General features: G+C 59.3%; 2 protein-coding genes and 1 long non-coding RNA gene across 11 annotated transcripts in view, besides 13 other annotated features; 2 read left to right on the forward strand and 1 right to left on the reverse strand.

Moving 5' to 3' along the window:
- The window catches only part of EVL (Enah/Vasp-like), a 172,815-nt gene extending 170,819 nt beyond the window's left edge, over positions 1–1,996 (forward strand). For all 8 annotated transcript variants that reach the window (NM_001330221.2, XM_047431464.1, XM_005267749.4 and 5 more), the window contains one exon: positions 1,461–1,996. In NM_001330221.2, the coding sequence (NP_001317150.1) occupies positions 1,461–1,498 (38 nt within the window). In that variant the 3' untranslated portion in view covers positions 1,499–1,996. The remainder of the gene's footprint in view (positions 1–1,460) is intronic.
- On the reverse strand, positions 1,717–24,646 carry DEGS2 (delta 4-desaturase, sphingolipid 2). Of its 2 annotated transcripts, XM_006720043.4 has the most exons (4): positions 24,555–24,646; positions 24,365–24,457; positions 6,728–7,470; positions 1,717–4,667 (listed from the first exon to the last, which is right to left on the reverse strand). In XM_006720043.4, exons 3-4 carry the CDS (start codon positions 7,442–7,444, stop codon positions 4,521–4,523), a joined length of 864 nt encoding a protein of 287 aa, XP_006720106.1. In that variant the 5' UTR covers positions 7,445–7,470; positions 24,365–24,457; positions 24,555–24,646; the 3' UTR covers positions 1,717–4,520. The 2 variants fall into 2 exon arrangements, with proteins under 2 accessions (XP_006720106.1, NP_996801.2); NM_206918.3 differs by lacking the exons at positions 24,365–24,457; positions 24,555–24,646 and adding an exon at positions 17,266–17,405.
- Positions 2,446–2,946: an enhancer, noted in NCBI's record as "H3K4me1 hESC enhancer chr14:100611023-100611523 (GRCh37/hg19 assembly coordinates)". NCBI's record gives its function as "activates a minimal SCP1, AML or CMV promoter by ChIP-STARR-seq in primed H9 embryonic stem cells {active_cell/tissue: H9 hESC(primed)}" and the evidence as "EXISTENCE:reporter gene assay evidence [ECO:0000049][PMID:30033119]".
- Positions 3,515–3,634: an enhancer, noted in NCBI's record as "active region_9024". NCBI's record gives its function as "activates an Ori minimal core promoter by ATAC-STARR-seq in GM12878 lymphoblastoid cells {active_cell/tissue: GM12878}" and the evidence as "EXISTENCE:reporter gene assay evidence [ECO:0000049][PMID:35858748]".
- Positions 3,695–3,764: an enhancer, noted in NCBI's record as "active region_9025". NCBI's record gives its function as "activates an Ori minimal core promoter by ATAC-STARR-seq in GM12878 lymphoblastoid cells {active_cell/tissue: GM12878}" and the evidence as "EXISTENCE:reporter gene assay evidence [ECO:0000049][PMID:35858748]".
- Positions 4,503–5,023: an enhancer, noted in NCBI's record as "H3K27ac-H3K4me1 hESC enhancer chr14:100613080-100613600 (GRCh37/hg19 assembly coordinates)". NCBI's record gives its function as "activates a minimal SCP1, AML or CMV promoter by ChIP-STARR-seq in naive H9 embryonic stem cells {active_cell/tissue: H9 hESC(naive)}" and the evidence as "EXISTENCE:reporter gene assay evidence [ECO:0000049][PMID:30033119]".
- Positions 4,655–4,704: an enhancer, noted in NCBI's record as "active region_9026". NCBI's record gives its function as "activates an Ori minimal core promoter by ATAC-STARR-seq in GM12878 lymphoblastoid cells {active_cell/tissue: GM12878}" and the evidence as "EXISTENCE:reporter gene assay evidence [ECO:0000049][PMID:35858748]".
- Positions 4,915–4,984: an enhancer, noted in NCBI's record as "active region_9027". NCBI's record gives its function as "activates an Ori minimal core promoter by ATAC-STARR-seq in GM12878 lymphoblastoid cells {active_cell/tissue: GM12878}" and the evidence as "EXISTENCE:reporter gene assay evidence [ECO:0000049][PMID:35858748]".
- Positions 5,024–5,542: an enhancer, noted in NCBI's record as "H3K27ac-H3K4me1 hESC enhancer chr14:100613601-100614119 (GRCh37/hg19 assembly coordinates)". NCBI's record gives its function as "activates a minimal SCP1, AML or CMV promoter by ChIP-STARR-seq in naive H9 embryonic stem cells {active_cell/tissue: H9 hESC(naive)}" and the evidence as "EXISTENCE:reporter gene assay evidence [ECO:0000049][PMID:30033119]".
- Positions 5,265–5,314: an enhancer, noted in NCBI's record as "active region_9028". NCBI's record gives its function as "activates an Ori minimal core promoter by ATAC-STARR-seq in GM12878 lymphoblastoid cells {active_cell/tissue: GM12878}" and the evidence as "EXISTENCE:reporter gene assay evidence [ECO:0000049][PMID:35858748]".
- Positions 17,192–17,251: a silencer, noted in NCBI's record as "silent region_6073". NCBI's record gives its function as "represses an Ori minimal core promoter by ATAC-STARR-seq in GM12878 lymphoblastoid cells {active_cell/tissue: GM12878}" and the evidence as "EXISTENCE:reporter gene assay evidence [ECO:0000049][PMID:35858748]".
- Positions 17,352–17,751: a silencer, noted in NCBI's record as "silent region_6074". NCBI's record gives its function as "represses an Ori minimal core promoter by ATAC-STARR-seq in GM12878 lymphoblastoid cells {active_cell/tissue: GM12878}" and the evidence as "EXISTENCE:reporter gene assay evidence [ECO:0000049][PMID:35858748]".
- Positions 17,797–19,474, forward strand: LOC124903380 (uncharacterized). Its single transcript, XR_007064330.1, has 2 exons — positions 17,797–17,891; positions 19,068–19,474. It is a non-coding gene; the product is annotated as an uncharacterized LOC124903380 (long non-coding RNA).
- Positions 23,830–24,331: an enhancer, noted in NCBI's record as "H3K4me1 hESC enhancer chr14:100632407-100632908 (GRCh37/hg19 assembly coordinates)". NCBI's record gives its function as "activates a minimal SCP1, AML or CMV promoter by ChIP-STARR-seq in naive H9 embryonic stem cells {active_cell/tissue: H9 hESC(naive)}" and the evidence as "EXISTENCE:reporter gene assay evidence [ECO:0000049][PMID:30033119]".
- Positions 24,332–24,831: an enhancer, noted in NCBI's record as "H3K4me1 hESC enhancer chr14:100632909-100633408 (GRCh37/hg19 assembly coordinates)". NCBI's record gives its function as "activates a minimal SCP1, AML or CMV promoter by ChIP-STARR-seq in naive H9 embryonic stem cells {active_cell/tissue: H9 hESC(naive)}" and the evidence as "EXISTENCE:reporter gene assay evidence [ECO:0000049][PMID:30033119]".
- Positions 24,935–24,984: a silencer, noted in NCBI's record as "silent region_6075". NCBI's record gives its function as "represses an Ori minimal core promoter by ATAC-STARR-seq in GM12878 lymphoblastoid cells {active_cell/tissue: GM12878}" and the evidence as "EXISTENCE:reporter gene assay evidence [ECO:0000049][PMID:35858748]".

A 25,857-nucleotide genomic window follows, 5' to 3' on the forward strand; every position in this document is an offset into this window, starting at 1 on the left:
ACCAAGGTCTACAGAAGCACCTTCCAGGCTTGAGCTCGTTCACAGCCTGCCTGGCCCTGGGCTGGGGAACAGGCAGGGAGCAGCCTCTGGCTCCAGAGCAGGGTGGGTCTCAATGCATCACATCCGTCCTTCCGGTTCCCAGCAGAGCCTTTGAATGCTCTGCCTCAGATCTGCAGCCAGAGGAAAAGGGGGAGTGGGCAGGGCAGACTCAGTCTAGGGACGAGCTATGCAGCACAGCCAGTGCCAGCTCCCCACGTGCCTCCCCAACCAGGGTGATAAAGGCTGACACCTGGGTGTGTAGCTGGGTCTGGCCCCCAGGGCATCACAGTGACCGGGGCAAAAGGGTCCCACAAGCGCACAGGGGTGGAGGCTGATGGCAGAGGGAAGAGGCAGGTGGGAGCCCAAAGACCCAGGCCTCCTCCCCCAGCCGGCCCACCCTTGTTTGAGCAGAGAGCACTCAGTTCCTGTTTGTCCAGTTCCCCCAAAGGCCTGGGCTGGGGAGATAAGGAGTTAACAAATGAGGGGAATGAGGCAGCCTGGGCGATAGGCAGGCACTCAGCCAACTGGTCACACCGCCTTACTGCTGGGTGCCGTCTGGCCCCAGGCATAGCTGGGTCAGAAACCCAGGGCCCACCACAGCCTCTCCACCTGCTGTGGGTGCAGCCCCAGGTGGAACCCACCCTGGCTGAGAGCCCGGGGGTAGGCATGGGCCATACCAGGGGCTCTGAGAAGCAGCTCCCATCCCCCAGCCCCCACAACCTTCTCCTGGCTGTTGGCTCTTGGCCCAGCAAGGTCCATCCAGAGAGAGGCCTGAGTTGACATAGAGGAGGGGGAGTCCGGGAGGGGATGGATACCAGAGGAAGGAGGGAAAGGCCCAAATTTGGGAGGCCGGGGGTTGGAGCACTAGCTTGGGGTGATGAGGAAGCTGGGGGGAGGCAAGAGAGGACCCTGCCTCTCCTGAGGAGTGAGCAGAGCCAGGGCAGTCCCTGGGGTCCAGGGCCAAGATTTCCTGCTGACCCCTGCAGGAGCTGGGAGGGCAGAGCCTCAGCCTCCACTATGTTGGGGGAAGGGCTCCCGGGCCCCCGGCACCTGGACACCCACCTGTCCAGAGCCTACAGAGACCCTGCGTCCCCACACAGCAGCTCCTCACACCAGAGTTCTGGTGCCCAGCACTCCTCAGCAGCAGTGAGGCCACAGGCAGGGCACAGGCCTCTGTCCCTACGCCAGGTCCTCCCCTAAAAGGGCAGTGGCAGCAGGGGCCGCCGCAGAAGGAATGGCAGATGAGACCCAAAGCCTTTGGTCATCACCCCAGAGGTCTATGCCAAAGCCTGGGTGGGGCTCCCAGGAGATGGAACAGGGACACATACCAGGCAGGTCCACGCCAGGGGTGCGGGGCCCTGATGAGGAACCGGGCTGCACTGGTCATGGCTGCACCTGAGCCGCCGCCACCTGTCCCGCAGCCATCAGGCAGGAGCTGAGTGGGATCAGCACCACGTAAGGGGCCGGCCTCGCTGCGCTGATTCGTCGAGCCCATCCGGCGACAGAGGACAGCCAGAAGCCCAGCCAGCCCCAGACTCCAGTGCACCAGAGCACGCACAGGAGCCTGGGCGCGCTGCTGTGAAACGTCCTGACCTGTGATCACACATGACAGTGAGGAAACCAAGTGCAACTCCTGGGTTTTTTTAGATTCTGCCTGACACGGAACACCAGGTCTGCTCGTCTTTTTTGTGTTTTATATTTGCTTATTTAAGGTACATTTCTTTGGGTTTCTAGAGACGCCCCTAAGTCACCTGCTTCATTAGACGGTTTCCAGGTTTTCTCCCAGGTGACGCTGTTAGCGCCTCAGCTGGCGGTGACAGCCGGCCCAGCGTGGCGCCACCACACACCGCAGAGCTGTCCAGGCACAGCTCCGTCCCCAGCGCTCATGGTGTTGAAACTGTCTGTCATGCACCACGGTGTCTGTGTCCACACAGTAATAAACGGTTTACTGTCCGCACCCTCGGGCTCAGGCCCTCGCATTGGTCCATCACGCTCCGGGCTGGGGATGCCCCTTTTCAGAGAAGGGCCCGGGACCACGGTGACCAGGAGTCGTAGGAGCAAGATGGCGGTCTTCGACAGGAAGCTGGGCTCAGAACATTCCCAAGCCCCGGGAAGGTGGGGTGGTGTCCTGGGGCTGGGCCTCAGGTCCTGCCTGTAGGGAACTCCCTACGGGATCTCCAGGAAGATGGTCCCTCAAGTGCAACCCACACCCCCGAACCTCAGAGGACTCCACGTGCATTCTGACGGGCAGGGCCCTGCGAGCGTCCTGTTCAGGGGAGGGATGGACTTGGGGCTTAGCAGGCACCAGGCAAATGCAAGGCAGCTTTGCCTTCTCCTCGGCCCCACAAAGTCTCCTGGGAGGACCACCTGGCCTGCAATGGGCTGTCCCAGGCCCCTGCCCTGAGGCAGCAGCCAGAGACAGAGGTTCTGACCCTCAGCTTCAAGGAACCAGGGCCACCAACAGGCAGGCCTTGAGATCCTGTGACCACTCATGCCCCCAGTTCTCCCACATGACCTCCTGCAGCCACAGAGCAGTGTGCCCAGCAGCCCCCAAGGGCCATGGCAGGGGAGGGAGCCGGCACTGCCTGCTGGGACCCAGTGGCTGATCTCAAGGGCCGGCTCCTAGCACACTGCACGTTGTTGGGCTTCCCGGCAGCCCTAGCAACAGGAATATGACTGCTCTGCCCCTTAGGAGGCTCCACTCTCTGAGTGGCTTCGCCTAGGCTTCACCTAGGTCTGGTGGCACTTTTAACCCAGGGCCTGCAGACCACAGCTCAGAGCTGCTCTCTCCCGCTTCCCTGCCGCCCCCCAGGCCAGGAGGGCTCCCCCCAAGGCCAGGAGTCTCCCCAGGAGCGCTCAAAGGACTGTCTGTCTTCGGAGCCACCCTCTGACCCTGGGCCTGGCCTTCAGTTTGTGGGTGAGGCCTGGACATGCCCCTTTGCGCTGTCTGCAGAAAAGTGTGCTGAACGAGGCACCCCCTCAGGCACAGCAGGAGGAGCGGGTGCTCTGGGTTCCCCTCAGCCTGTGGGCGGGCCTGTGTGCACAGGGAGGGGCCGCCCGGCTCAAAGTCCTGGTGCCGGGGCCAGCAGCACTTCCTTTGCAGAACAAGTCCTGGGCTCAGGCCTCTTCCCTGCGCCACTCAGCAGGCTGCCCACTCGGACATGGGAGGCCGGCGCTGTGCGGGGCCACTCCCAGGTATAGGGGGAGACCTGCATCTCCCAGGTCAGCAGGGACAGCCCCTGGCACCCCACTCATGGAGAGGCCTTCAAGCCCTGACTGTAGCCTCAGTCTCCATTCCTAAGTCCTGGAGGCTGAGGCCGCCTTCCCCAAGGCAGTGGTGGGAGCTGCATCCACTGCTGGATTGCAGTGGGCCCGCTCCATCCCTCTCTGGCAGGGAGGGCCTCCTCGCTCAGGCACCCCTCCTGCTGCCTGCCCACCTCTGGGACATCAGGACCCAACCCAGCCCTGCCCTCCAGGAGAAGACAACCTCCTAGGTCGCAGCTGCACCCTCAGCCCTTCTGTAGAAAGGACCGACACGTCTCACGTCACGCACACTCCCAGGACGCTGCCCGACCCGCATCCCATCTGAGCTGTGGCTCACCAGGACAGTCACCTGCCCGGCCAGCCCCCGGGCTTGGGTGCCAGATCTGGGCAGAGCTCCTCCAGCCCCTCCTCCGAGCTGGTGTGGGGGATAGACCCTCTCTGGGCTCAGGGACGCTCCCTGCCGCGGGAGGGCATACAGAGAGCAGGAGGTGAGCAGGCCCAAGGGGTGGGGGCAAGGCAGGTGGTGTGGGCTCAGGGGGATGGGGGAGCCAGCCTCTGCGTGGCTCAGCCAGGCAAGGGAGCCGTGGGATCCCCGGGCTGCTAGGAGGGATTTGGAGCCACACAGATGACCAAAGTGAGCTTTCTGCTGTCCACACCTCAGTGTGTGTGCACACCACAGTGGCAGGCCCTGAGGGAGCACTGCCAGCAGCAGCCACCGTCCCACAAAGAGCCAGGAGTGCATGGCAGGACCTGGGCCTGGCCTGGACGAAGCGGCACTCAGGCCTCAAGCTCCACTCATCGGGGCGGCCCAGCGCCCCATTCCCTGGGGCCAGGCTCAAGCCCAGACCACCCCCTCAGAAGCACAATCCATGGGCTGTGAAACAAACGCCGGGTTTAATGTAGGGCACAGGCACCCCGGAGAAGTCAGCTCCGTGGGAACCGTGGGCTCAGAGCACCCAGGTCATGGTGGGGCAGGGCCAGGCCTCACCTGGGGAGGCCCAGAAAGGGAGGGCCACACTCAAGGTCCAGGGCAAGTCCACGTGCAGACGGAGCCCTGCAGCCCACACTGCTGTTGCCAGGTGTGGCTGCGCGGGACACTCCTCGGGGACAAGGGCAGCAGTCCAGAGCACAGGAAGGAAATGTAGCTTCTCAGTGCTGGGGTGCAAGGCTGAGGGGCCGATGGGGGACAATGGCCACCACCAGGAGGCAGCCCGGGCTCACAGACCATCTTTTGCCAGCCTGTACACCCGCTTCACCCTGGCATAGGGCCCCAGGGAGTCCTCAAACACAAAATCCCAGAGCACCTTCACCCAGGAGTGGTGCTGCGGCAGGTGGTCGTAGTACTCGGGCGCGATCTTCCGCACCTGTAGAGAGGAGGGCGGGGCTCAGGGGCTGGTTCTCCTCGGGGCCGCACCCGCGAGCACACACGCAGACACCTGAGCACACGCGGTGGGCATGCACATGCATATTCATGTACGAACATGTTTGCGCGCGCGCACACCCACACACACACATGGGTGTACATAATGCAAACACACCGTCGCCTCTGGGGTGCCCATGTCCAGCTTGGCCAAACACAAGGCCACCCCTCTGGTCCTCCCTGCCAACCACCACTTCCTGGGTGCCTGGAAGCGTGGCGCTGGCTGCTGGAGGGCCTGGTGGCCTGAACTGCGCCCAGGACGCTGTGGCAGAGGCACCCACGGGCTCAGCTCAGAGCGCCTGCCCCAAGTGGTAGTTGCAGAATTCATTGCACCACTCCACTCGGCCCCGCCTTCTGACCCGGCAGACCCCACTGCTCGGGGGAGTTCTCCCGCAGCGCCTGCGCAGTGCTGAGTGCCCGCCTGAGTCCTACCAGGCCACAGTGTCACACCCATGCATCTCAGCCCTGTGATCCGCCAACCTTGGCCTCAGCCAGCCTCACTGCTTGTCATGTTCCAAGGGCCTCTTGAGCACCTGCTGTCCCCTCCAGCCTTTGCTCTACACAGACACCCCCACCAACTTCCTCCAGGAAGTGCTCCCAGCTTCAGCGCCCGCAACTGCGCCACCACCACGCCGCCCCACTGCTCAACGGCATGCAGCCTTGGCCCAGCTCCCATCACAGGGATGCCCTCCCTGCCCCCCCCCCCCAGGATGCCTTTCCTGCCCCCTCTTTGCCCTGTCACCTCCTAAGGATGCTCTCAGGACGCAGGGAGCCTGGCCGCAAAACCAGGACAGCGGGGCCAGCACCAGGCACCCAGAGCCTCTCACTTTGCTCAGGAAAGGTAAAGGCTCATGGCTCACGGCAGGCACTCTTGCCAACTTGCTCTGCCATCTCCTGAGGCGGGCACCTCTCCCCTCCGCCCCGTCACCTCCTGAGGCGGGCACCTCTCCCCCGTGCCTCTGCCTTATCTATACAACAGGGATAATGGATGAGGAGGCAGCTGCCTCCTGGGCTGTGGTGAAGTTCAAGTGAGATGGTCCCTGGTGCAGAGCACCGCCTTGGTACTGCCAGCCGGAATGGAGGGCACAGGCCACGGCCCAGGCTTGGAATTTGGTCTGATTCCAGAGTCACACGGGCCACAGTGCACACGCATACAGGGACGTGTGCACAAACACCTGCACAACCAGGTAAATACATAACCACACACAGATGCGTGTGCGCACGCCCAGGCACACATGCAAATGCCTGCGCACGTGGGCAGGCACCCACACATAATCACAGGGCAAACATGCTCACACACAGACACGTGCACACCCCGGTGCACACAGAGGCGTGCGCTCAGGCGCTCGAACACCTCCCCAGTGCCACCTCCTCCCGCCCCCTTTGCCACAGGTAACTCCAGCTCTTTCCAGGCAGCCAGAGGCTACCAAGGCACAGGCTGGCAATGGCTGAGGGACGGCTCCTCCTCCCCCTTCCCCTTCCTCCTTTCTCATTCAGAAATTCTCCAGCTCCCAGTCTCCTAAGGCAAAGATGCCCATACCCGGGGCTTCCACTCCCCATCAGCTCTGCCCAAGCCCCTTGGGCTGCGAAGGGCAAGGCCCACCCTGTCCTCTCTGGCCCCTGGAGGGTCACAGGGCAATGACAAGGAATGAGCAGGGAAAGAGCCTGCAGACGGGAAGGATGGTGCTTCCCGTGCAGTGTTGCTAATGCTGCCCCTCTTCAAGGAAGACACCCTGTCAGTATCATGGCGGCATCAAGCAGCCTGGACTGTGAAATGCCTCTCAGACCCCACCTCCCTGAATTTGCTTCAGCCTCCAGCAGAGGACTCGCCTGTGTTGTGTGGCCTTTCCTCCTGCCCTGGGGACAAGTGCAAGTGGCCATGCCATGACTAGCACAAAAAGGGAGAGGCTGCTGGGCATGGCCCAAGGCCCTTCCAGGGCCCCCACCTCCTCCGATGGCTGTGCAGCCCTGCCCCGCCGCAGCCCTGCCAGCCCAGCCACATACCAGCGGCAGGTTGTAGCCCGGGATGCTGGGGAAGTCGTGGTGCTCCACGTGGTAGCCCACATTGAAGGTGATCCAGTTGAGAGGCCCATAGTAGGAGTAGGTCTCGTGGCCCTTGAGGAACATGTAGTGCTCGGCCACGAAGTGGCCCGAGATGGGGTGCAGGCCCAGGCCCAGGAAGGAGCTGGCCAGCAGGTAGACCACGGGCTTGAGCCCCCAAAGGGCAAAGATGGCCAGGTCGGCCGCCAGCTGCACCAGCGTGTTGAGCACCTCCATGCGGGTCACGGCCTTGGGGTGGACGCAGAGCGGCCGTAGTGAGTAGAAGAAGGGCTGCAGCACCAGCCAGAGCAGCTTGCGGGCGGGTGTGCAGAAGAACCAGCCCTCCAGACGCGTGGGCACGTCCACGTCCAGCCCGTCGCCGCCCAGGTAGCGGTGGTGGTCCACGTGGTACTTCTTGAAGGAGGCGGCGTAGGGCACACCCACGGGCAGGTTGGCGAACACGGCCAGCCAGCGGTTGCGTGCCGCACGGCCCGTGCCGAAGGCCGCGTTGTGCGAGATGTCGTGGATGGCCAGCGTCAGCGAGTGGTTCACGCAGCCACCAAAGGCGTAGGCCCAGAACAGCAGCCAGCGCCAGGCCAGCCCGCGCACCAGCCAGCAGGCCAGCATCTGCACCAGCACCAGCACCAGCACCGCCCACTTGAGGCGCGGGTCTGGCCGCATCAGGGCCTTGATGGCCGGGTACTTGGCTGCAAGGAAGACAGGGAGGTATGAGGCCCCGCTCGGTGGGGCTGCACCCCGCCCTCCTCCGCTCCCACTGCAGTGGCCGAGGGGTGAGAAGGTGGGAGTGGCCAGCAAACCTCGCTGGTCCCTTTGCCCCTGCACACAGGCCCTGTCCCTCGAGGGCCCGCTGGCCCCCACCCTGGCCGAGCCTCATCCCACCAGACTCAGAGGGCAGGACTCCAGCAGGGGCACATGTGGCCCACGCTGGCAGATGGGCCCTGCTGCTCCCCGAGCCAGGCCTCATCCCAGCTTGTTCCCACCCAGCAGGTCTGGGCCAGCGAAGACGATTCAGAGGCTGTGCCTTGATGCCGTCTGTGTACTCAAGCACACGGGGAGCCTCAGCCAGGAGGTGGGGACCCAGCGCCCGCAGCAAAGTGGTCCCAGGCAGGGAAGCAATGTCTCCTGTCAGGCAGGGCAAGGAGGACCTGCTGGCAGCTCCCACTCAGGAAGGCTCTGGCCCAGGCGCAGGGCCAAGGAAGTCGCATGCAAAGTCCCCTTTGTGTGTCTGTATGTAGGCTGAGACCGCAGGTCCGAAGGCACCACTGCCCACTGCCTCCCTCTTACCCAGGGACGCCCCTGCCCCCAGGGCAGTAGCCAATCCGCCTGGGGGCCGGCCAGCTCCAGCCCCACTCCCACCCCAACACCCCCCCCCGCCCCGCCCCCATTCCACAGGCAACCAGCCGCTGCTTCCCCTTGGAAAGAGACCAAACCTTGGGGCAAGAGGGAGGGGCAGGCCACACCTGTGCCAGGTGAGCCACAAGCAGGCAGCTCTGGGGAGGGCCAGCCCAGGCCTCCAGCTTTTGGGTGCAGGCAAGCATCAGCCACTTCTGCACCCCTCAGAGGTGAGAGCCATGACAGAGCCTGGCAGCCCTGACCTTGGAGAATGGGCCTCACTTTCCCCATCTGCTGAACAAAGATGCTAAGTTCTGCCTACATGGTGCGCCCTCAGGGTCCCTCCCTGTGCCCTGTGCAGCCGCCTTTCAGGGAGCCCCGTGCCCTTCCCGCTTTCCTCAGCACCTCCTAGGACTCAGCTGCCCCTCCAAGCCCCAGCCTTCCCTCAGGGGCCCCACTGTGGACCACTGGAGAGAGGAGAAACCTGCACACAGAAGGACAGCAGCGCCCACCCTACCAGCCCCTCACCCGGCCCCAGCTATGGGCTGGTCCTATCTCCCATGGGTGTGCTGGGGCCTCCGGAGCCACTGGGACCCCAGAAACAGGCACTGGGCTGGCCCATCCAACAGGCATGCCCCTAAGTCCCCTCTGAGTGGACTCTGGGCTGTTTCCAGTGTGGCACATCTGGCAAGAGGCCTAGTGCAGGCGGGTCCCAACAAGCCTCAGGGGCCCAACCCCAGCCATCACCTGGCCAATAGCAGGGGCCCACCAGCCTGCGTCTTCCCATCTGGGAAATGGGGACGCCATTCCTCTATGCCCGTCAGGCTGTGGAGTGGCCAGCACATTAGTCTGAGCCCTGGGGGTGCCAGCACTCAGTAGGCACAAGCTGGTACTATTGTCATTAAAGGAAGTGCTCTGATCTAAGAGGAAAAGCTGGTCTTGGGGCGATGGCCTGGCCCTGGCTTGTTTCAACAAGAGCAGGCCCAAAGCTTGCAGGCTTGGGAGCCACCAACTGGAAGTAACTAAAAACTGAGCAGTGCACGAGGCAGCTGAGCATGGGCAGCACAGGGCGCGACTCAAGGAGGGAACAGATGCAGGGAGCCCCAGGTCACCTCACCTGCCTGCAGGCACCTGCTGGACTGCAGCACGTGGCTGAGGGACCCCCAAGGAGCTGAACGAGCAGAGAATGGCACTCAGGGAGCCCGAGACACCCACACTGCAGGTACAGGGGGCTCCTGCCAAAGGCCTGAGGCCCAGAGAAGCTTTGCTGGAGCAGGAGCTCCATGACAGTTCTGAAAACAGCAGCTGCTGGAGCTTTGCACCCAAGGAGTTCCAGAGGTGGCACAGGCTGGGAGTCCCAACCCACTGGGCAGAAAGGCCTCACTGAACACCCCAGCCTCCAGTGGGCCCCCCGGAAGCCCTGTCTTAGGAGTGGGTCTACTCTGCACCCACCCAAGGTCAGTTGACTGACTCCTTGACAGGAGAAAACAACCCACGCTTTTTGCAAAGATTGCAAAGATCTACCATCTTCAGCTCCAGAGCGCCCAGGTCCCTGGGGGAGTGGGAGTGGGGACGTGCCAGGAACACTCGGGACCACGCCATGCAGACTGGATGTGCAGGAGAGGGTCGTGGCTGAGGTCACCCTGGGTACGGTCAGGATGGAGTAGTAACTGAAGCCAGGGCTTGGAGGTGGTCAGCTGCCAGGGGTCACAGAGGTTCAGGGACAAGAAGAGAGAGCAGGTGTCCCTCGACTTAGCCAGGTCATGGTGTCTCAGCAGGAGCCATTCCGGCACAGCCCGAGGCAAGGCGAGGGTGAGATGAGGTAGCGAGGGTGGGTCTGCCTAGGGCATGGGGCAGGGAGGGCAACAGGGAGGCACCAGAGGACGGCAGGATGGGAAGGAGATGCCAGGGTGGGCGTCATGGAGATGCCAGGGTGGGCGTCATGGAGATGCCAGGGTGGGCATCATGGAGAAGGCAAGGGTCACTGGAGCTGGGTGCCAAGGGGACTCAGGAACTCCTCGAGAGCTATGGAGCATTATTTCTGGGTGTCTGTCAAGGTGTTTCCAGACTGGCAGAGGGTAAGTGGACTGAGTGAGGAAGGCCCGCCCACAATGTGGGCCAGCACCATCCAATCAGCTAGGGCCCCGATAGAACAAAAAGGCAGAGACAAGGGTCTCCCTCCTGTCTTTCCCTCCCTCTCTCCTCCCATCCTTCTCTACTTCTCCCACCACTTCCCTCTCTTGGAGCTGCAACACACACTTCTCTAGTCCTTGGATATCAAAACTCCAGCCTTTGGACTCCAGGAACTACACCAGCACCCTCCACCCTCCGCCTGCTTTCAGGCCTTCAATATCATACTGAGGGTTCCACCGTCGAGTTCCCTGGTTCTGAGGCCCTCAGACTCAGACTGAACCACGCTACCCCTACTGCCACCCCTGGGTCTCCAGCTTGCAGACAGTCTGTCATGGGACTTTACAGCCTCCATAATCACATGAGCCAATTCCCCTAATAAATCCCCTCTTCGAATGGATGGATGGATGGATGGAAGGAAAGAAGGAAGGGAGGGAGGGAGGGAAAGGGAAGGAAGGAAGATAGGAAGATAGATCGATATATCGATTGATCCAGGCATGGTGGCTTACATTGTAATCTCAGCACTTTGGGAGGCTGAGGCAGGAGGTTTCCTTGAGCCCAGGAGGTCAGGATCAGCCTGGGCAATATAGCAAGGCCTTATTATGCAAAAAGTTTAAAAATCAGCCAGGTGTGGTGGTGTGTGCCTGTGGTCCCAGCTACTTGGGAGGCTGAGGTGGGAAGATCGCTTGAGCCCAGGAGTTCGGGGCTGCAGTGAGCCGCAATTGCACCACTGCACTCCAGCCTGGGCGACAGTAATGGCAAAAACAGATAGATAGATAGATAGATAGATAGATAGATAGATAGATAGATAGATAGATAATAGATGTGAGAGATAGATACATAGATCCTATCAGTTCTGTCTCTCTGGAGAACACTAATACAGGGCCTCTTCCAGGGCCTCAAAGAAAGGGGGACAGGGAGAATGGGTGGGGCTGGGGAGTGGGAGTCAATGGGTTCCATGGCCTTGGGCCCCATCTTCTCTGGGCCACAAGAGAGGGGGAAAGCCCAAGGCAGAGAAGGACAGGGAGAGACACAGCTCCCTGGCAGCCCCATGAGGAATTGCAGGCCTGCATGGGCTCTGGCTAGACACCCAAACCTGGCCCAGCCTGGGAACTCTGTCCTGCTGTGGGCACTCAGCTGACCTCAGGTGTGACTCTGCCCTTCCACACCTCCAGCCTGGATGGCAGGAGTAGCTGGGAGACACATGTGCCTTGAGGGCTCTCTGCTCCGTGGGGCAGCACAGAGCCCGACGTGCACAGCCACCTGGAACCAAGATACACAGACCCACACAGACGGTTTCCAGCAGCGGCCCCAGGTGAGGCACAAGGCATCTGGGCAGGTGGCCATGAACAACAGCTGTTGCTAGAAGTCACCCTGTCCAGGCAGGACTCAGGAAGGGTCTGAGGTCAAGGGAGGTGCAAAGAAGGGCCCACCAAGGTGCAACAAGGCTGACCGAGCCAAGACTTGAACTCAGGACCCCCGACTCCAGGCCTGCACAATGGTGAGCAAGGCCCCGATGTGGACTCAGACTCCATCAGCACCGATCTAGTGCTTGGCTACACTGCCACAGAGCACCCAGAGAAAATTCTGGATCAGATCTGGGCGCAGTGGCTCACACCTGTAATCCCAGCACTTTGGGAGGCTGAGACGGGCAGATCACTTGAGGTCAGGAGTTCAAAACCAGCCTGGCCAACATGGTGAAACCCCGTCTCTACTAAAAATACAAAAATCAGCTGGACAAGGTGGCGTGCGCCTGTAGTTCCAGCTACTTAGGAGGCTGAGGCAGGAGAATTGCTTGAACCTGGGAGGCAGAGGTTGCAGTGAGCCAAAATCACACCACTGGACTCCAGCCTGGCAACAAAGCGTCTCAAAAAAAAAAAAAAAAAGAAAGAAAAAATCATGGATCAGGCTCAGTCAGACTCCTGTGTGCCCTTGGGCAAGCCCCTGTCCCTCTCTGGACCTGTCTCCTCAGTCTCCATCTGTAAGGCATCTGCTCTGACAGCCTCTGTGGCTGGGAGCCCATGGAGGTGGGGTCTTCCCTAGGGGCCTATGGAGAAGAAGGGGCAGCAGATGCCAAGGTGTGAAACGTCTGCACACTTATACCAGTTAGCAGGCTCACTCATAAAATGCCAGAGGGCAGAGCCAGAGGCAGGGCCTGCTGAAGGGAGGCCAGCCCAAAGCCCCCTGCACCCACAGGACAGTTGCATCACCCTGGTGCGACTCTGATGGGTTACAGCCTTTGCCCAGAAATGCTCCTGACAAATCTGCTGAGCCATTGAGCAGAGGGACCGCATCAGAAACAGGCAGCCAGGCCAGAGAGGCTGCTGTACCCTTGCCTCCAAGAGTAGCAGAGACAGGGCCCCCCCACGCCACACCCCTACTCCCAGTCACAGGCCACTCCACCCCTGCCCCTCCTGACTAGCTGGCAATAAAGTCACTTTTGTCTTGTCCCCAGCAGGGCTCCCAAAAGCAAAGGGGCCTCTTATCTCTTCCACACTGGGCCCCAGTGAGCCCCCAAGCCCTGGCTCTGGCAACATCTAGGGAGACCTGCTGTATCACCTTCCCAGGGAGGCCAAATGCCATCATATGACAGTCACTCACTGGCCACATGGGAGGTGCCCGTCACTGCCCATCATCCCTCCAACATTCCACCTCTGCCGCCACCTGCTTCCCAGCTCCCTGTTCCACCACAAACCTGCTCAGGGTTGACGATGCCACCTGGTGGCCACAGCAGGAAATGCTTCCATACAACGTGGCCTCTTCCCCACCCATCCACAGCTGAGTAACCTGACCTGGGACAAGCTTCTCCTCACAAAGGCAGCAAAGCCCTCCTAATCCCCTCCTTCCTAAACTTCTTCCTCCCAGCCCTGGCCTAATGCTCTGGGAAGCCACCTACCCACAGCTTCCATCCCTGCCACCTGAGGTTTTGTGCCAAGAGACAAGCCTGACCCTGTCCAGTGTGGGAGGCACCCTGGGACCTAGTTGGATCTGGAAAGTGTGGCAAGTGTCCAGCTTCTCACCAGCCGCTCACTAAACCTGCCTTTCATTTCCAGTGACAAATATATACTGAAGATCTGGGAGCAGCCAGGCCCCCGTACGTTACAGAGATGGGTTTACCCTGCAGCCGGGCAGCTCTGTGGCTGGGAGATGGAGCCCCAGGATCCCCTTGTGGCTCTGGCAGTTTGGTCCTGGATTTTACCAGTTACCACTGACAGAGCCTCAGCCCCGGCCTTTCTGAAGCAAATAATCCAGCAACAGCCAGCAGTTTCGCTTCCGGGATTTCCTCTTTTGTTTTTCTTTATTTGAATTTTTGTATTACCATGTGTGCCCTGCTTTCATAATTTAAAAACAAACAAAATTACAAAGCTATTCATTTTCAAAAAAAAAACAAACCCAGAGCTTGCCTCTTACTCCACCGGCCACGCCTGGCTGGGTCTCTGATGGGGCCAGTCTCGCTGGCTCCGGTCCTGCCCTTTCAGGTCAGGGAGCCTCAGCCCTGGCCTAGGAGACCCCACTTTCTTAGGAAGTTATGTTCTAGGGAGCATGTCCCCCTCCCCGGCAGGAGCTGGAGATGGACTTTGGCCCCAACCCACAGAGCTCCTGGAGCCAGCTCTTTGCAAGGACTTCCTGGATTCTGACTGTCAGATTATGATCTTTATTGAACATCCCTGGGCACCCAGGAGCTTGGCATAGGCTGCAGGAGCCAGCTGGGTGGGGCAGGAGGCTGCCTGAGCACCAGCCTGGCCTGTGTGTTCCCCGGCAAGTTGCTTCCCCTCTCTCAGCCTCACTCCTGCCTCTTCTATAAAGAGATGCTGGCAGTTACACAGAGCATTTCTCCAAGGCCTGGGAATAGCATAGGCATGGAGGAAGCAGAGAGTATTCCCTGTCCTTAGGGAAACGACAGCCCTTGCCAGGTCTCTGAGACATTAATCATTATCATCGCAGCTGATACTCATCGAGTCCTGGAATAAGCACTTTACATATCACCTCGTTTAATCTGCACAGCAGCCCCATTAGGAAGGTATGATTTATTAACCCCTTTTCATTTGCCCAGGCCCCAACTCCTTCATCTGTTTACAGACTCACCCGTGGCTAATAAGTGGGTGTCAGGGTCCTTGCCAGGGGTTCAGCTCCACAGCCAAGCTCTTGAACTGTGCCCCAAAGAGCCCAGAGCCCAGAGGGCTTGGAGCCATGGAGGGGAACCCAGAGGAGGGGTCCCCATCCAGCTGGGCCAGGTCTGGGAGCAGTGGAGGGGCTTTCTGCAGGAGGTGGGACTGAACTGAGCGAGCAAGGCTAAGCAAGACAGAGCCTGGCAGAGCAGGGAGGAGGGACATTCACCTGGGGGAACAGCTTGTGCCGGGGAGGGAGGGAATGGCACATTCCAAATTTATTAGCTGAAAACAACAGGTGGAAAGGAAGCCCCTGCTTCCGCCCTGCAGGAAAGGGAGCGTGGACCAAGCTGGAGGGCCCGCCCTGAGGACTTGTGCTCCCCAAGCCCTGGCCCCAGGTGCCTCTCCCTTTTCCAAGTCTTTCAACCTTCCTAGCCACCACCTCCAGAAAGCCTCCTGGATTGGTTCCAGGGCCTGTGGCTTCCCTCTTTAGAGAGAGCTCCTTCCCCACGTCCTGGAGGGCCAGGTACCACCTCGGGCACCTTCCCAGCTGAGATATCATCTCATCCTCACACCTACTCTGCCTGGTAGGACGACTGCCCGTTTTGCAGATTGGGAAAGTGAGGCCACAGCCCAGAGTGTCTGGATCCCTCCAGGTGGCCCTGAGGTAGGCCCAGCTCCTATTCTATGGATATGAGCTCCTAGGGACCAGGACACTGGCTGCCATGTGCCTCTTGCCTTTTCCACATGGTGCCAGATACCCAATGAGTCCTGTGAAGTGAAGCTGGGGATAGCCAGGGGAGGGGACAGAAATGCAAACAGGGCCAAGGAGGCCCCTGCTCCAGCCTCAGCCCCACCTCAGACCTGCTGAGGGGCAGTAGCCAGGACACCTGCCCTGTTCACATGATGAGCAGGGAGGGAGGGTCAGATGACCCCCAAGGTTCCTCCCAGCCCTCCCCAGGAGTTCCACAGCATACGGGAGGCAGCTACCACTGCTGGGACCAGACGATGCTGGGCTGCAGCTCACCTCCCAGGAGAAACCACAGCAGTCACAAACCCACATAGAGGCTTCCAGCTCCTGAGGCCCCAGTTACCCCGGGATGCAGTCACAGGCTAGCCACCCAATGTATCTTGGGTTTCAAACATTTAAAAGTCATGGTATCTCAGTATGCTGCCATGGGATTAAAAAAAGAGGAAGAAAGAAAAAGTTGGCTGGGCGCAGTGGCTCACACCTGTAATCCCAACAGTTTGGGAGGCAGAGGCGGGTGAATCACCTGAGGTCAGGAGTTTGAGACCAGCCTAGCCAACATGGTGAAACCCCATCTCTACTACAAATACAAAATTAGCCGGGTGTGGTGGCGGGTGCCTGTAATCCCAGCTACTCAGAAGGCTGAGGCAGGAGAATCGCTTGAACCTGGGAGGCGGAGGTTGCGGTGAGTGGAGATCGCATCACTGCACTCCGGTCTGGGCGACAGAGCAAGACTTCCTCTCAAAAAAAAAAAAAAAAAAAAAAAAAGTTGTTCAGGCCAGGCGTGGTGGCTCATGGCCCATGCCTGTAGTCCCAACACTTTGGGAGGCTGAGATGGGTGGATCCCTCGAGCTCGGAAGTTTGAGACCAGCCTGGGCAACATGGCAAGACCCTGTTTCTAGTAAAAATACAAAAAAAATAGCCGGGCATAGTGGTACACACCTGCAGTCTCAACTACTCAGGAGGCTGAGGTAGGAGGATCAGTTGAGCCCAGTGGGGAGAGGTTGCAGTGAGCTAAGATCGCGCCTAGCCAACATGGTGAAACTCCATCTCACTACAAATACAAAAATTAGCCGGGTGTGGTGGCAGGTGCCTGTAATCCCAGCTACTCAGAAGGCTGAGGCAGGAGAATCGCTTGAACCTGGGAGGCGGGGGTCGCAGTGAGCCGAGATCGCGAGACTCTGTCTCTAAATAAATAAATTAATTAAATTAAATAAAACGCCCGATTAAAATGTGAAACCTCCATCAAATAAGTGCAAATTAAAGCCACAGTGAAATGGTATTGTTTCCCCAATCTGACTGAAGATTACAAAGTGTGGCAACGCGCGGTGCTGACTTAGGCAGGGCGGGAGGGGCGGGCCTGTCTCAGCCTGTGGCGATTTGGTGGCATCTGGCAAAAGCCACTCTCCAGACGCAGGCCCTTTAACCCCGTAAGCCCGGGCCAAGGACGACTCACCGGGGCCACCTTGCTTGTGGGTGGGATGGGGCCTCTGGCATGAACGAGAGTGACTCCGAGTGGGTAAAGATGCCCTCCTCGCAGAGGACACGAAGCAACAAGGAAAACAGCCACCACGTAATAAGCGACATGCCAGAATAGAAGGATTCTTTAGTACAATCTTTGCTTTTTTCAAAGAAAACACGCGCGCCTCTCATTCGCGTTTGCTCCCTTCCCGGCGCTCATCCGCCCTGAACTCCAGCCTGGGGCGCCCGTGGCCGCGAGACCCAGGGGCTCTGAGCGCAGCAGGCGCCCAGTGACTGCGGGTGGAGGCCCCGCGTCGCGCAAGCTGCCTCCGCGCCAGGGAGCGCGTGCGCCTCGTAGCGCGTCCCGGGGCCGCCCCTGCGCCCTCGCGTCCCAGCATCCCAGAGCCCCGGCCCTGGCCCCGGGAGTGGCTCGCGAGGAACAGCTGGGACGCGCTCCCTGGCGCTCGGACCCGTACTGGGGTCCTCGGAATCCTCAGGTCCCAGGGAGTTTCAGACCCGGCCAGGGTGGGGGACCCTCGGGGAGCCGGCCGGGGACCCCAGGGAGGGGAGCGGCAATGGCGGAACGCCCACTGGAATTTGGGCCAGAGCTGGAGCGGCCCGTCTGGGCTCGACCCCACGACGCGACTCCAGACGGGCCAACGGGGCGGTCCCCACCGGGGTGGGCCCCGCGCGGCGCTCACCCAGTATCTCCTTGCGCCGCTGCGTGTGCGGCTGGTCGGTGTAGACCCACTCGAAGTCGCTGCGGCTCGCGCTGTTGCCCATGGTGGGGCGGGAGGCGCCGTTCGGAGCGCGGCCGGCTCGGCTCTGCTGCACCTGTCGCGGCGGCCGCGGCGCGGAACCAGCTCTGATTAGGGCGGGGGCGGGGTCCCGGCGGGGCGGGGCCAGGTGCGCCAGGCTTGGGGCGGGGCACCTCTGGCTGGGCGGGGCGGCCGGGCCCCGGCGCTCTCCAGACCCCGGCGGGTAGCTGGCGCTTTGGGAACCTCAGTTGCCTCGGTTGGAAATGGGGCTCCCCGGCAGGACCGAGGTGGCCGCGTGCCATCTGCGCGAGTCCCTGGGTCCCTCGATGCGCGGGGGCGACTGCTGCCACCGCGGCCTCCCACCGGCTCTGCGCGCCCCGCCCACCCGCGGGCAGCCGTCGGGTTTTTACCCCGGCCCGTTCTCTCCGCAGCCCCGACCCGCTCGCGGGCACGCCCCTGTGGCTCGCGCCGCCCCTGCCCCAAGGAGGAGCGGCTGGCAGGATAGGGGGACTGCGGAGGATCGGCGTGGAATGGATGCGACGGTGCCAGTAAACAGGCGCCGAGGAAAGGTTGGTGCAGCAATCCTCCCTTCCTCCACCCGGCCCTTTCACCAATAATGCAAAGGGGAGATAATGCGTCTGCAGCAACCTCACAGGGATGAGTCAGACCCACTCCTGCCTTCAGGGAACTTGAGTTCTGGATGGGGACACAGGTACAGAAGTGGCTGTTATGATTCAGGGTGATACGTGCCATGACACAGGTAGGCCCTGAAGCAGCTAGGATCCAATAGAAGGAACTTTTGCATTGGGCCTTGAGGGGTGGGTAGGAGTTCAACAGCTAGAAAAGGGAAAGGCATTGGTGCTAGGGGGAACAGCAGATGCAAACGCTTGGAAACAAGGCAGAACCTGAATGTTCTCAAATGGAAAGTCTAGTTTTGGGGAGGTAAGGGCACAGGGCCCCTCATCTTCACCCTCTCAGTGATGCCTCTGTTCCTTCTCCCACTCCCTTGGAGTTTTGGAGGGTGGACCTGCTGTGCCTGTGGGCCAGAGCCTGGCCTCGGCTGGCAGTTGCCTGGGAGCTGACTGACACATCAGCCAGCGCTGCCACAGGCTCGCACATAGTGAGGGCGTGCTTCTGTGCGTCCCATGGAAGTCCATGGCCCGGGGTTTGGTACACTTGGCAGGCCTTCCTTAGCTCAGGGCCAAAGGCAGTCCTGAGTGAGCCAGGAAGGAAGGCATGGGTGTCCTGCAGCCGCCAGCCACCATCCCCTGAATTAGCCATGGGAAAGGTGGACACAGAGGCCAGATTTTCCATCAGCAGGGGGACCCACATGCCACCATGGCCATCACCCCTTGCCACACCCAGGAGGCCTCCCGGCCCAGCTTGCACCCTTGGGAGAAGACTCATTGCTCCCAGGGCAGCCTGCTCTGTTCCCAGCCAGAAGGGTCCTCAGAAGTCATCCCACCAGCCATCACTTTACAGATCAGGAGACTGAGGCCCAGAGATGAGGAGCGCCTTGCCTGAGGCACAGAGGAATTAACAGCAAGGCTGGGGCATGACTTTGGCCCCTGACCTTTGAATTAAAAAGCTTCCAAAATCAGAGCCTTCGCCCCTGTGTTGAACTCCGTGAGATCTGCCGCCCTGAGCCCCAGCTCCACCCTCAGGACAACACCAAGCCTGCCAGTTCCCTCTGCCCCAGGCCACCGCCTATCCAGAGGAAACTCACCAAGGCCCTCATTTTCCAGATGAGGAAACTGAGGCCAGAGAGGGGACAAGTCAGAGGACATGCTGAAGAAGACCTGGGAGTGGAACAGACACCCAGGATGCATGAAATCAAGTCTGATGCCCTTGCCAAGTGCTCCCCAAGTCCCTGGGGAGCCAGAAACCCAGCTTCACGGTGTTGACGAGCCAGGAGCACATACTGTTGCGTCCCCACCCTGTCCGTTGTCCCAGAAATGACAGAAAATACATTTTCGTTTGTAATGTGGTGTCTTGAATGGGATCCTGGAGCAGAAAAAGGACATTAGGTAAAGCTAAGGAAAGCCTAGTAAAGCTGGACCATAGTTAATCATAGTGTATCAATATTGGTCCATCAAAGGCAACAAATGCACCATATTATAAGATATTAAAATAAAGGAAACTGGGTGTGGCATATATGTGAACTTTCTAAACTATCATCACAGTTTTTCTGTAAATATAAAGCTGTTCTGAAAAATAAAGTTTATGGCCGGGCATGGTGGCTCACGCCTGTAATCCCAGCACTTTGGGAGGCTGAGGTAGGCAGATCACCTGAGCTCAGGAGTTCGAGACCAGTCTGGCCAACATAGTGAAATCCCGTCTCTACTAAAAATACAAAAATTAGCTGGGCGTGGTGGCAGGCACCTGTAATCGAGGCAGGAGAATTGCTTGAACCTGGGAGGCAGAGGTTGCAGTGAGCTGAGATTGCACCATTGCACTCCAGCCTGGGCGACAGAGCGAGACTGCATCTCAAAAAATATAAATAGGCCGGGCACGGTGGCTCACACCTGTAATCCCAGCACTTTGGGAGGCCGAGGCAGGTGGATCACGAGGTCAGGAGATCGAGACTATCCTGGCTAACACAGTGAAACCCCGTCTCTACTAAAAATACAAAAAAAATTAGCTGGGCATGGTGGCGGGCACCTGTAGTCCCAGCTACTCGGGAGGCTGAGGCAGAATGGCATGAACCCGGGAGGCGGAGCTTGCAGTGAGCCGAGTTTGCGCCACTGCACTCCAGAGCCTGGGCAACAGAGCAAGACTCCGTCTCAAAAATAAATAAATAAAAATAAATAAAATAAATAAATAAATAATAAAATAAAATGAAGTTTATTAGGCCAGGTGCAGTGGCTCACACCTGTAATCCCAGCACTTTGGGAAGTCGAGGCAGGCAGATCACCAGGCTGGTCTTGAACTCCTGGACTCAAGGAATCCACCCACCTTGGCCTCCCAAAGTGCTGGGATCACAGGCATGAGCCACCGCGCTCAGCCAAAATATAGTTTCTTTTAAATATAAAGTTTGGGAGTGTACACACACACACGCGCACACAGCATTGGAAAGCAGGGACTCTTTGGACTGGAAACTGAGAGGGAGCCCACCACGGCCAGCTACTCTTCAGTGGCCCCTTGGCCTCCCTCCACACCCCCATTTCCCCTGGGCCAGGCAGCAGCAGGGGTGGGGTGCTGGTTACCTCTCAAGAGGGCCCTGATTGTAAGCCCCCTGGCCGGAGTGCTGTGCCAGGAGCAGGATGGGCCTCCACCCAAAAGCCTCAATGACAGTATTAGCTGCCCCATGCAAAAAGGCCTCCACTGCCTCGTGTTTGCAGAAAACAGGCCAGAAGACATTTCACACTGCCCCTCCCACACCTCCCAGGAGCCAGCAAGGAGTCAGACAGCCCATGACCCAGAGACAGCACACGTCGGAGGAAAGCCACAGAATGAAAGGGCAACCGACCCAAGAAGGAGCAGAGCCTGACAAACAGATGTTGAGGAAAGCAGACTCGATGGAGGAGTGAGAGCAGTGCCCCCAAGACTGAGCTAGAGATAGACATTTAAAAAGTGCTCATTTAAAAACCACACCCGAGCCGGGCGAGGTGGCTCACGCCTGTAATCCCAGCACTTTGGGATGCCGAGGCGGGTGGATTATCTGAGGTCAGGACTTGAAACCAGCCTGGCCAACATGATGAAACCCTGTCTCTACTAAAAATACAAAAATTAGCCAGGCGTGGTGGCACACGCCTGTAAATCCCAGCTAGTTGGGAGGCCGAGGCAGGAGAATCGCTTGAATCCAGGAGGCAGAGGTTGCGGTGAGCTGAGATTTCGCTACTGCACTCCAGCCTGGGAGACAAGAGCCGAACTCCATCTCAAAAAATAAAATAAAAATAAAAAAATAAAAACCACACCCCTCTATTGAAACGGAGCCCGTGGAGGAATCGAGACATGAGGACAGTTTCAGGATCCAAGCGGCCTCATAGCCAGACTGCTAGGAAAGGATGGAGAAGAGGCAACACTGGTCCCTACCCAGCCTTGTTTCCTTCATAGAAGTCATCCCACTGAAATTGTAATTACAATTTAATTATATGTAATTAGGGGTTATCCCTACAGGAAGTAAATTATTATAGCAGGTACTTATTTACTTGTTTATTTTATTATTACTTTTTAAAGATAGGATCTCACTCTGTCATCCAGGTGAAGTGCAGTGGTGCAGTCTCAGCTCACTGCAACCTCTGCCTCCCGGGCTCAGGTGATCCTCCTACCTCAGCCTCCTGAGTAGCTGGGACTATAGGTGCGCCCACCACACCCAGCTTATTTTTGTTCTTTTGGGGTTTTTTTTGCAGAGACCGGGTTTTGTGGCCCGGCGAGGTGGCTCATGCCCGCCCATAATCCCAACACTTTGGAAGGCTGAGGTAGGCAGATTAACTTAAGCCCCGGAGTTTGAGACCAGCCGGGACAACATGGCAAAACCCTGTCTCCACAAAAAATACAAAAATTAGCCAGGTGTGGTGGCTCGCGCCTGTGGTCCCAGGCGCGATGTAGGAGGATGGCTTGAGCCTCCATGTTCCCCAGGCTGGTCTGGAACTCCTGGGCTCAAGCACTCTTCCTGCCTCGGCCTCCCAAAGTGCTGGGATTCCAGGGGTGAGCCCCCGCGCCCAGCCGTCCTTGTCTATCGTAACAGGGCCTCCTCTAGAATGCCCTGTTCTCTGGGGATCACCCCTGGTATCACCAATGCCTAGAACATTTTCTGGCAAAGGAGTTGCTGTTAATAATGATTTGCTGGGCTGGGCGTGGTGACTCACCCCTGTGATCCTAGCACATTGGGAGGCCGAGGCGGGTGGATTGCTTGAGGCCAGGAGTTCAAAACCAGCCTGGCCAACATGCTGCAACCCCGTCTCTACTAAAAATACAAAAAATTAGCTGGGCATGGTGGCGGGCACCTGTAATCCCAGCTACTCAGGAGGCTGAGGCAGGAGAATCACTTGTACCAGGGAGGCAGGGGTTGCAGTGAGCCAAGATCGTGCCACTGCACTCCAGCCTGGGCAACAAGAGCGAAACTCCGTCTCAAAAACTAATAATAATAATAGTAATAATAAAACAGTGATTTGCTGAATGAATGACAGAAGGAAGGCATGAGTCTTCAGACCGAAAGGCTTAAGGGTGCCAACAACATTAAAATTTGGCTTAATCACTTTGGAAAACTCTTCAGTAATATCTATGAAAGCTGCGCATGCCAGGGTCTATACCCAGGAGTAGTGAACATGTGTGGCCACCAAATACATGTGCGAGAATAGTCCTGGCAGCTTTATTAGTAAAAGCCAAAGCTGGAGGTAACTCCAATGTCCAACAACAACAAAAAACGAAGAATGGATAAGCCGCTTATGCTATCTCCTTACACTGCAATGGTGGGTGGTAATAAAAAATGAATTACTGCCACCCACAGAACATTTTTATTTTCTGTGTCTGATGCTTTTATTTTCTGTGTCCTGGGGCCTAGCTGACCCTAGAGAGGCTGCCCCTCCTAGGACTAGAGATTCCTTCTCAGATGCCAGTGACCACCTCACAGCCCACAGCCCACTACCTCCTCTGTCTCTCACACTCAGGGCCAATATTCCCCTGCCCTGATCACACCAGGGCCAGGTATCAGACAACTCCGGACAGCCCCTCTGTCCCAGAGCCCTGAAATTACTCAAACCAGCCAGTCCAAAGCCTGCTCACCCTGCCTTGACTGTTTCTTCCCACAGAAACCCCAATAAAGGCTCTTGCTCACGTTTCCCTCTCCTCCCCCTGACTTCAGCAGACCCCAGCGTTCGCCCGTGTGTCCCCGACCCGCGCCGTGTGGCGCAGCCCCTGCTCTTGAGAACTGTGAGTGACAAACCATCTTTTCAACGGCAACATCCCCTGATTTGTGGGCCTCACTACACCTGCCTGCATTTCAAGCAGTGGGCGCAGCTAGCAGGGTGGAGTGAGGCGCCACTGCGCTGCTCTCGGTAACTGGTTCCACCGGGCGGCCGCGGACGGGCGGTGCCCCCGCCTGCGCCGCCTGGTGCTGCTGCTGTGGACGCCTCTCCGCTCCGAACTCAGGACCTGGGTCCTCTGAGCTCTGATCTGAGCTGTGCCTGCCTCCTTCCGGGCTGGCTGGCCAGGTTCCCCAAGGCTCCTCCAAAGGGAGCCACGGGAGGGACTTCCTCCTAGTGTTTGGGGGTGCCCCGCAGGCGGCCCTGCTAAGTGGGGGCAAACAGAGCTGCTGTTTGGGGGGCTTTTCAGGCTGCCTGGGGGAATTGGGGGAGACTGCATCAAAGAGTAGGGGGAGGCTGCGGGGCGAAGGAGGCCCCCTGAAGTGGGGTGGGGGGAGCCTGCCCGGAGAGTCAGGGGAGCCTGCCTGGGAGAGTGGGGGGAGCCTGTCTGGGGGAGTAGGGGGAGCCTGCCCGGGAGAGTGGGGGGAGCCTGTCTGGGGGAGTGGGGGGAGCCTGCCCGGGAGAGTGGGGGGAGCCTGTCTGGGGGAGTTGGGGGAGCCTGCCCGGGAGAGTGGGGGTAGCCTGCCCGGGAGGGTCGGGGGAGCCTGTCTCGGGGAGTGGGGGGAGCCTGTCTGGGGGAGTGGGGGGAGCCTGTCTGGGGCAGTCGGGGTAACCTCTCTGGGGGAGTGGGGGAAGCCCATCCAGGAGAGTGGGGGGAGCCTGTCCGGGGGAGTGGGGGGAGCCTGTCTGGGGGAGTGGGGGGAGCCTGCCCGGGGCTGTGGGGGAGCCTGCCCGGGGCTGTGGGGGAGCCTGCCCGGGGCTGTGGGGGGAGCCTGCCCGGGGCTGTGGGGGAGGCTGCTCTTCACTCTCAGGAGCTCAGTGTGAGGACCCCCGCCCCCACAGGGACCTAGTGGGCAGGAGGCGCCCTACCCTCAGGACCAGGGGCACAATGTTTCATAGAAGAACAGAGCACTCTATCCCTGCCCTTCCTGAGACCCCGGAGGAGGTCGCCAGTGGATTCGGGAGCATGAAATGCTCCGGTGATGCCGCGTGGGTCTCCCTGAGCACGAGCTTACCAGGGGGCCGCGCTCAAAGCAGCCTCAAAAATACCGACAGGGTCATTCTCCCGCAGCGGCTGCAGAGCCCTCGGAGGTCGGGTAAGACGCCACCTAAAGACAGGGCCATGAGGGGTCAGCAGGACTTTATCTGATAAACACCGGAAAGACAGAATGGGGAACAGAAATCAAAAGGAAAAATGTTACCCACCTCGAGATCCAAGCCATTCTAACAGGCTTTGCTTAAAAAAGAAGGAAGTCCGGGCGCCGTGGCTCACGCCTGTAATCCCAGCACTTTGAGATGCCGAGGCGGGAGGGCGGATCACGAGGTCAGGAGATCAAGACCATCCTGGCTAACACGGTGAAAACCCCGTCTCTACTAAAAATACAAAAAATTAGCTGGGCGTGGTGGCGGGCGCCTGTGGTCCCAGCTACTGAGTTAGGAGAATGGCGTGAACCCGGGAGGCAGAGGTTGCAGTGAGCCGAGATCGCGCCACTGCGCTCCAGCCTGGGTGACAGAGCGAGACTCCGTCTCAAAAAAACAAAAAAAAAGAACAAAAAGAAAAAGGAAAGGGGGAGGCAAACACTGGCTGCAGACAGGGCAGTCTCCCCCACACACACACCCGCTCCCACACACCCACCCGCTCCAACACACACACCCGCCCCAACACACACACACCCCCAACACATACACACACCCCCAACACACACCCCACCCCCTACAGGCCCCCAACACACACACACACACACACCCCAACACACACACACCCCCAACACACACACATCCCCAACACACACCCCGCCCCCCCACAGGCCCCCAACACACACACACACGCCCCCACACACACACACCCGCCCCAACACACACCTGCCCAACACACACACCCCCACCCAAACACACCCCCACCCCAACACACACACACATGCCCCCAACACACACACCCCCGCCCCAACACACACATGCCCCAACACACACACACCCAACACACAACACCCCCACCCCCACACACACACACACACATGCCCCAACCCACACACACATGCCCCAACACACACACCCACCCCAACACACACACCTGCCCCAACACACACACACCCATCCCAACACACACACAACCGTCCCAACACACACACACCCGCCCCAACACACACCCCAACACACACCCGCCCCAACACACACACACATGCCCCAACACACACACACACCCCACCCCAACCACAGACACACATGCCCCAACACACACACACACCAACACACACACACCCCAACACACACACACCTGCCCCAACACATACACCCCCAACACACACACACACTCACCCCAACACACACACACCTGCCCCAACACACACACACCCGCCCCAACATACACACCCACCCCAACACTCACACACACCCGCCCCAACACACACACCCCCACCCCAACACAGACAACCCTGCCCCCAACACACACACGCTCAACACACACACCCCCCAACACACACACTCCCTCGCCCCTAACACACACCCCCGC

This window comes from Homo sapiens, chromosome 14 (assembly GCF_000001405.40).
Source record: "Homo sapiens chromosome 14, GRCh38.p14 Primary Assembly".
Lineage (NCBI taxonomy): Eukaryota > Metazoa > Chordata > Mammalia > Primates > Hominidae > Homo > Homo sapiens.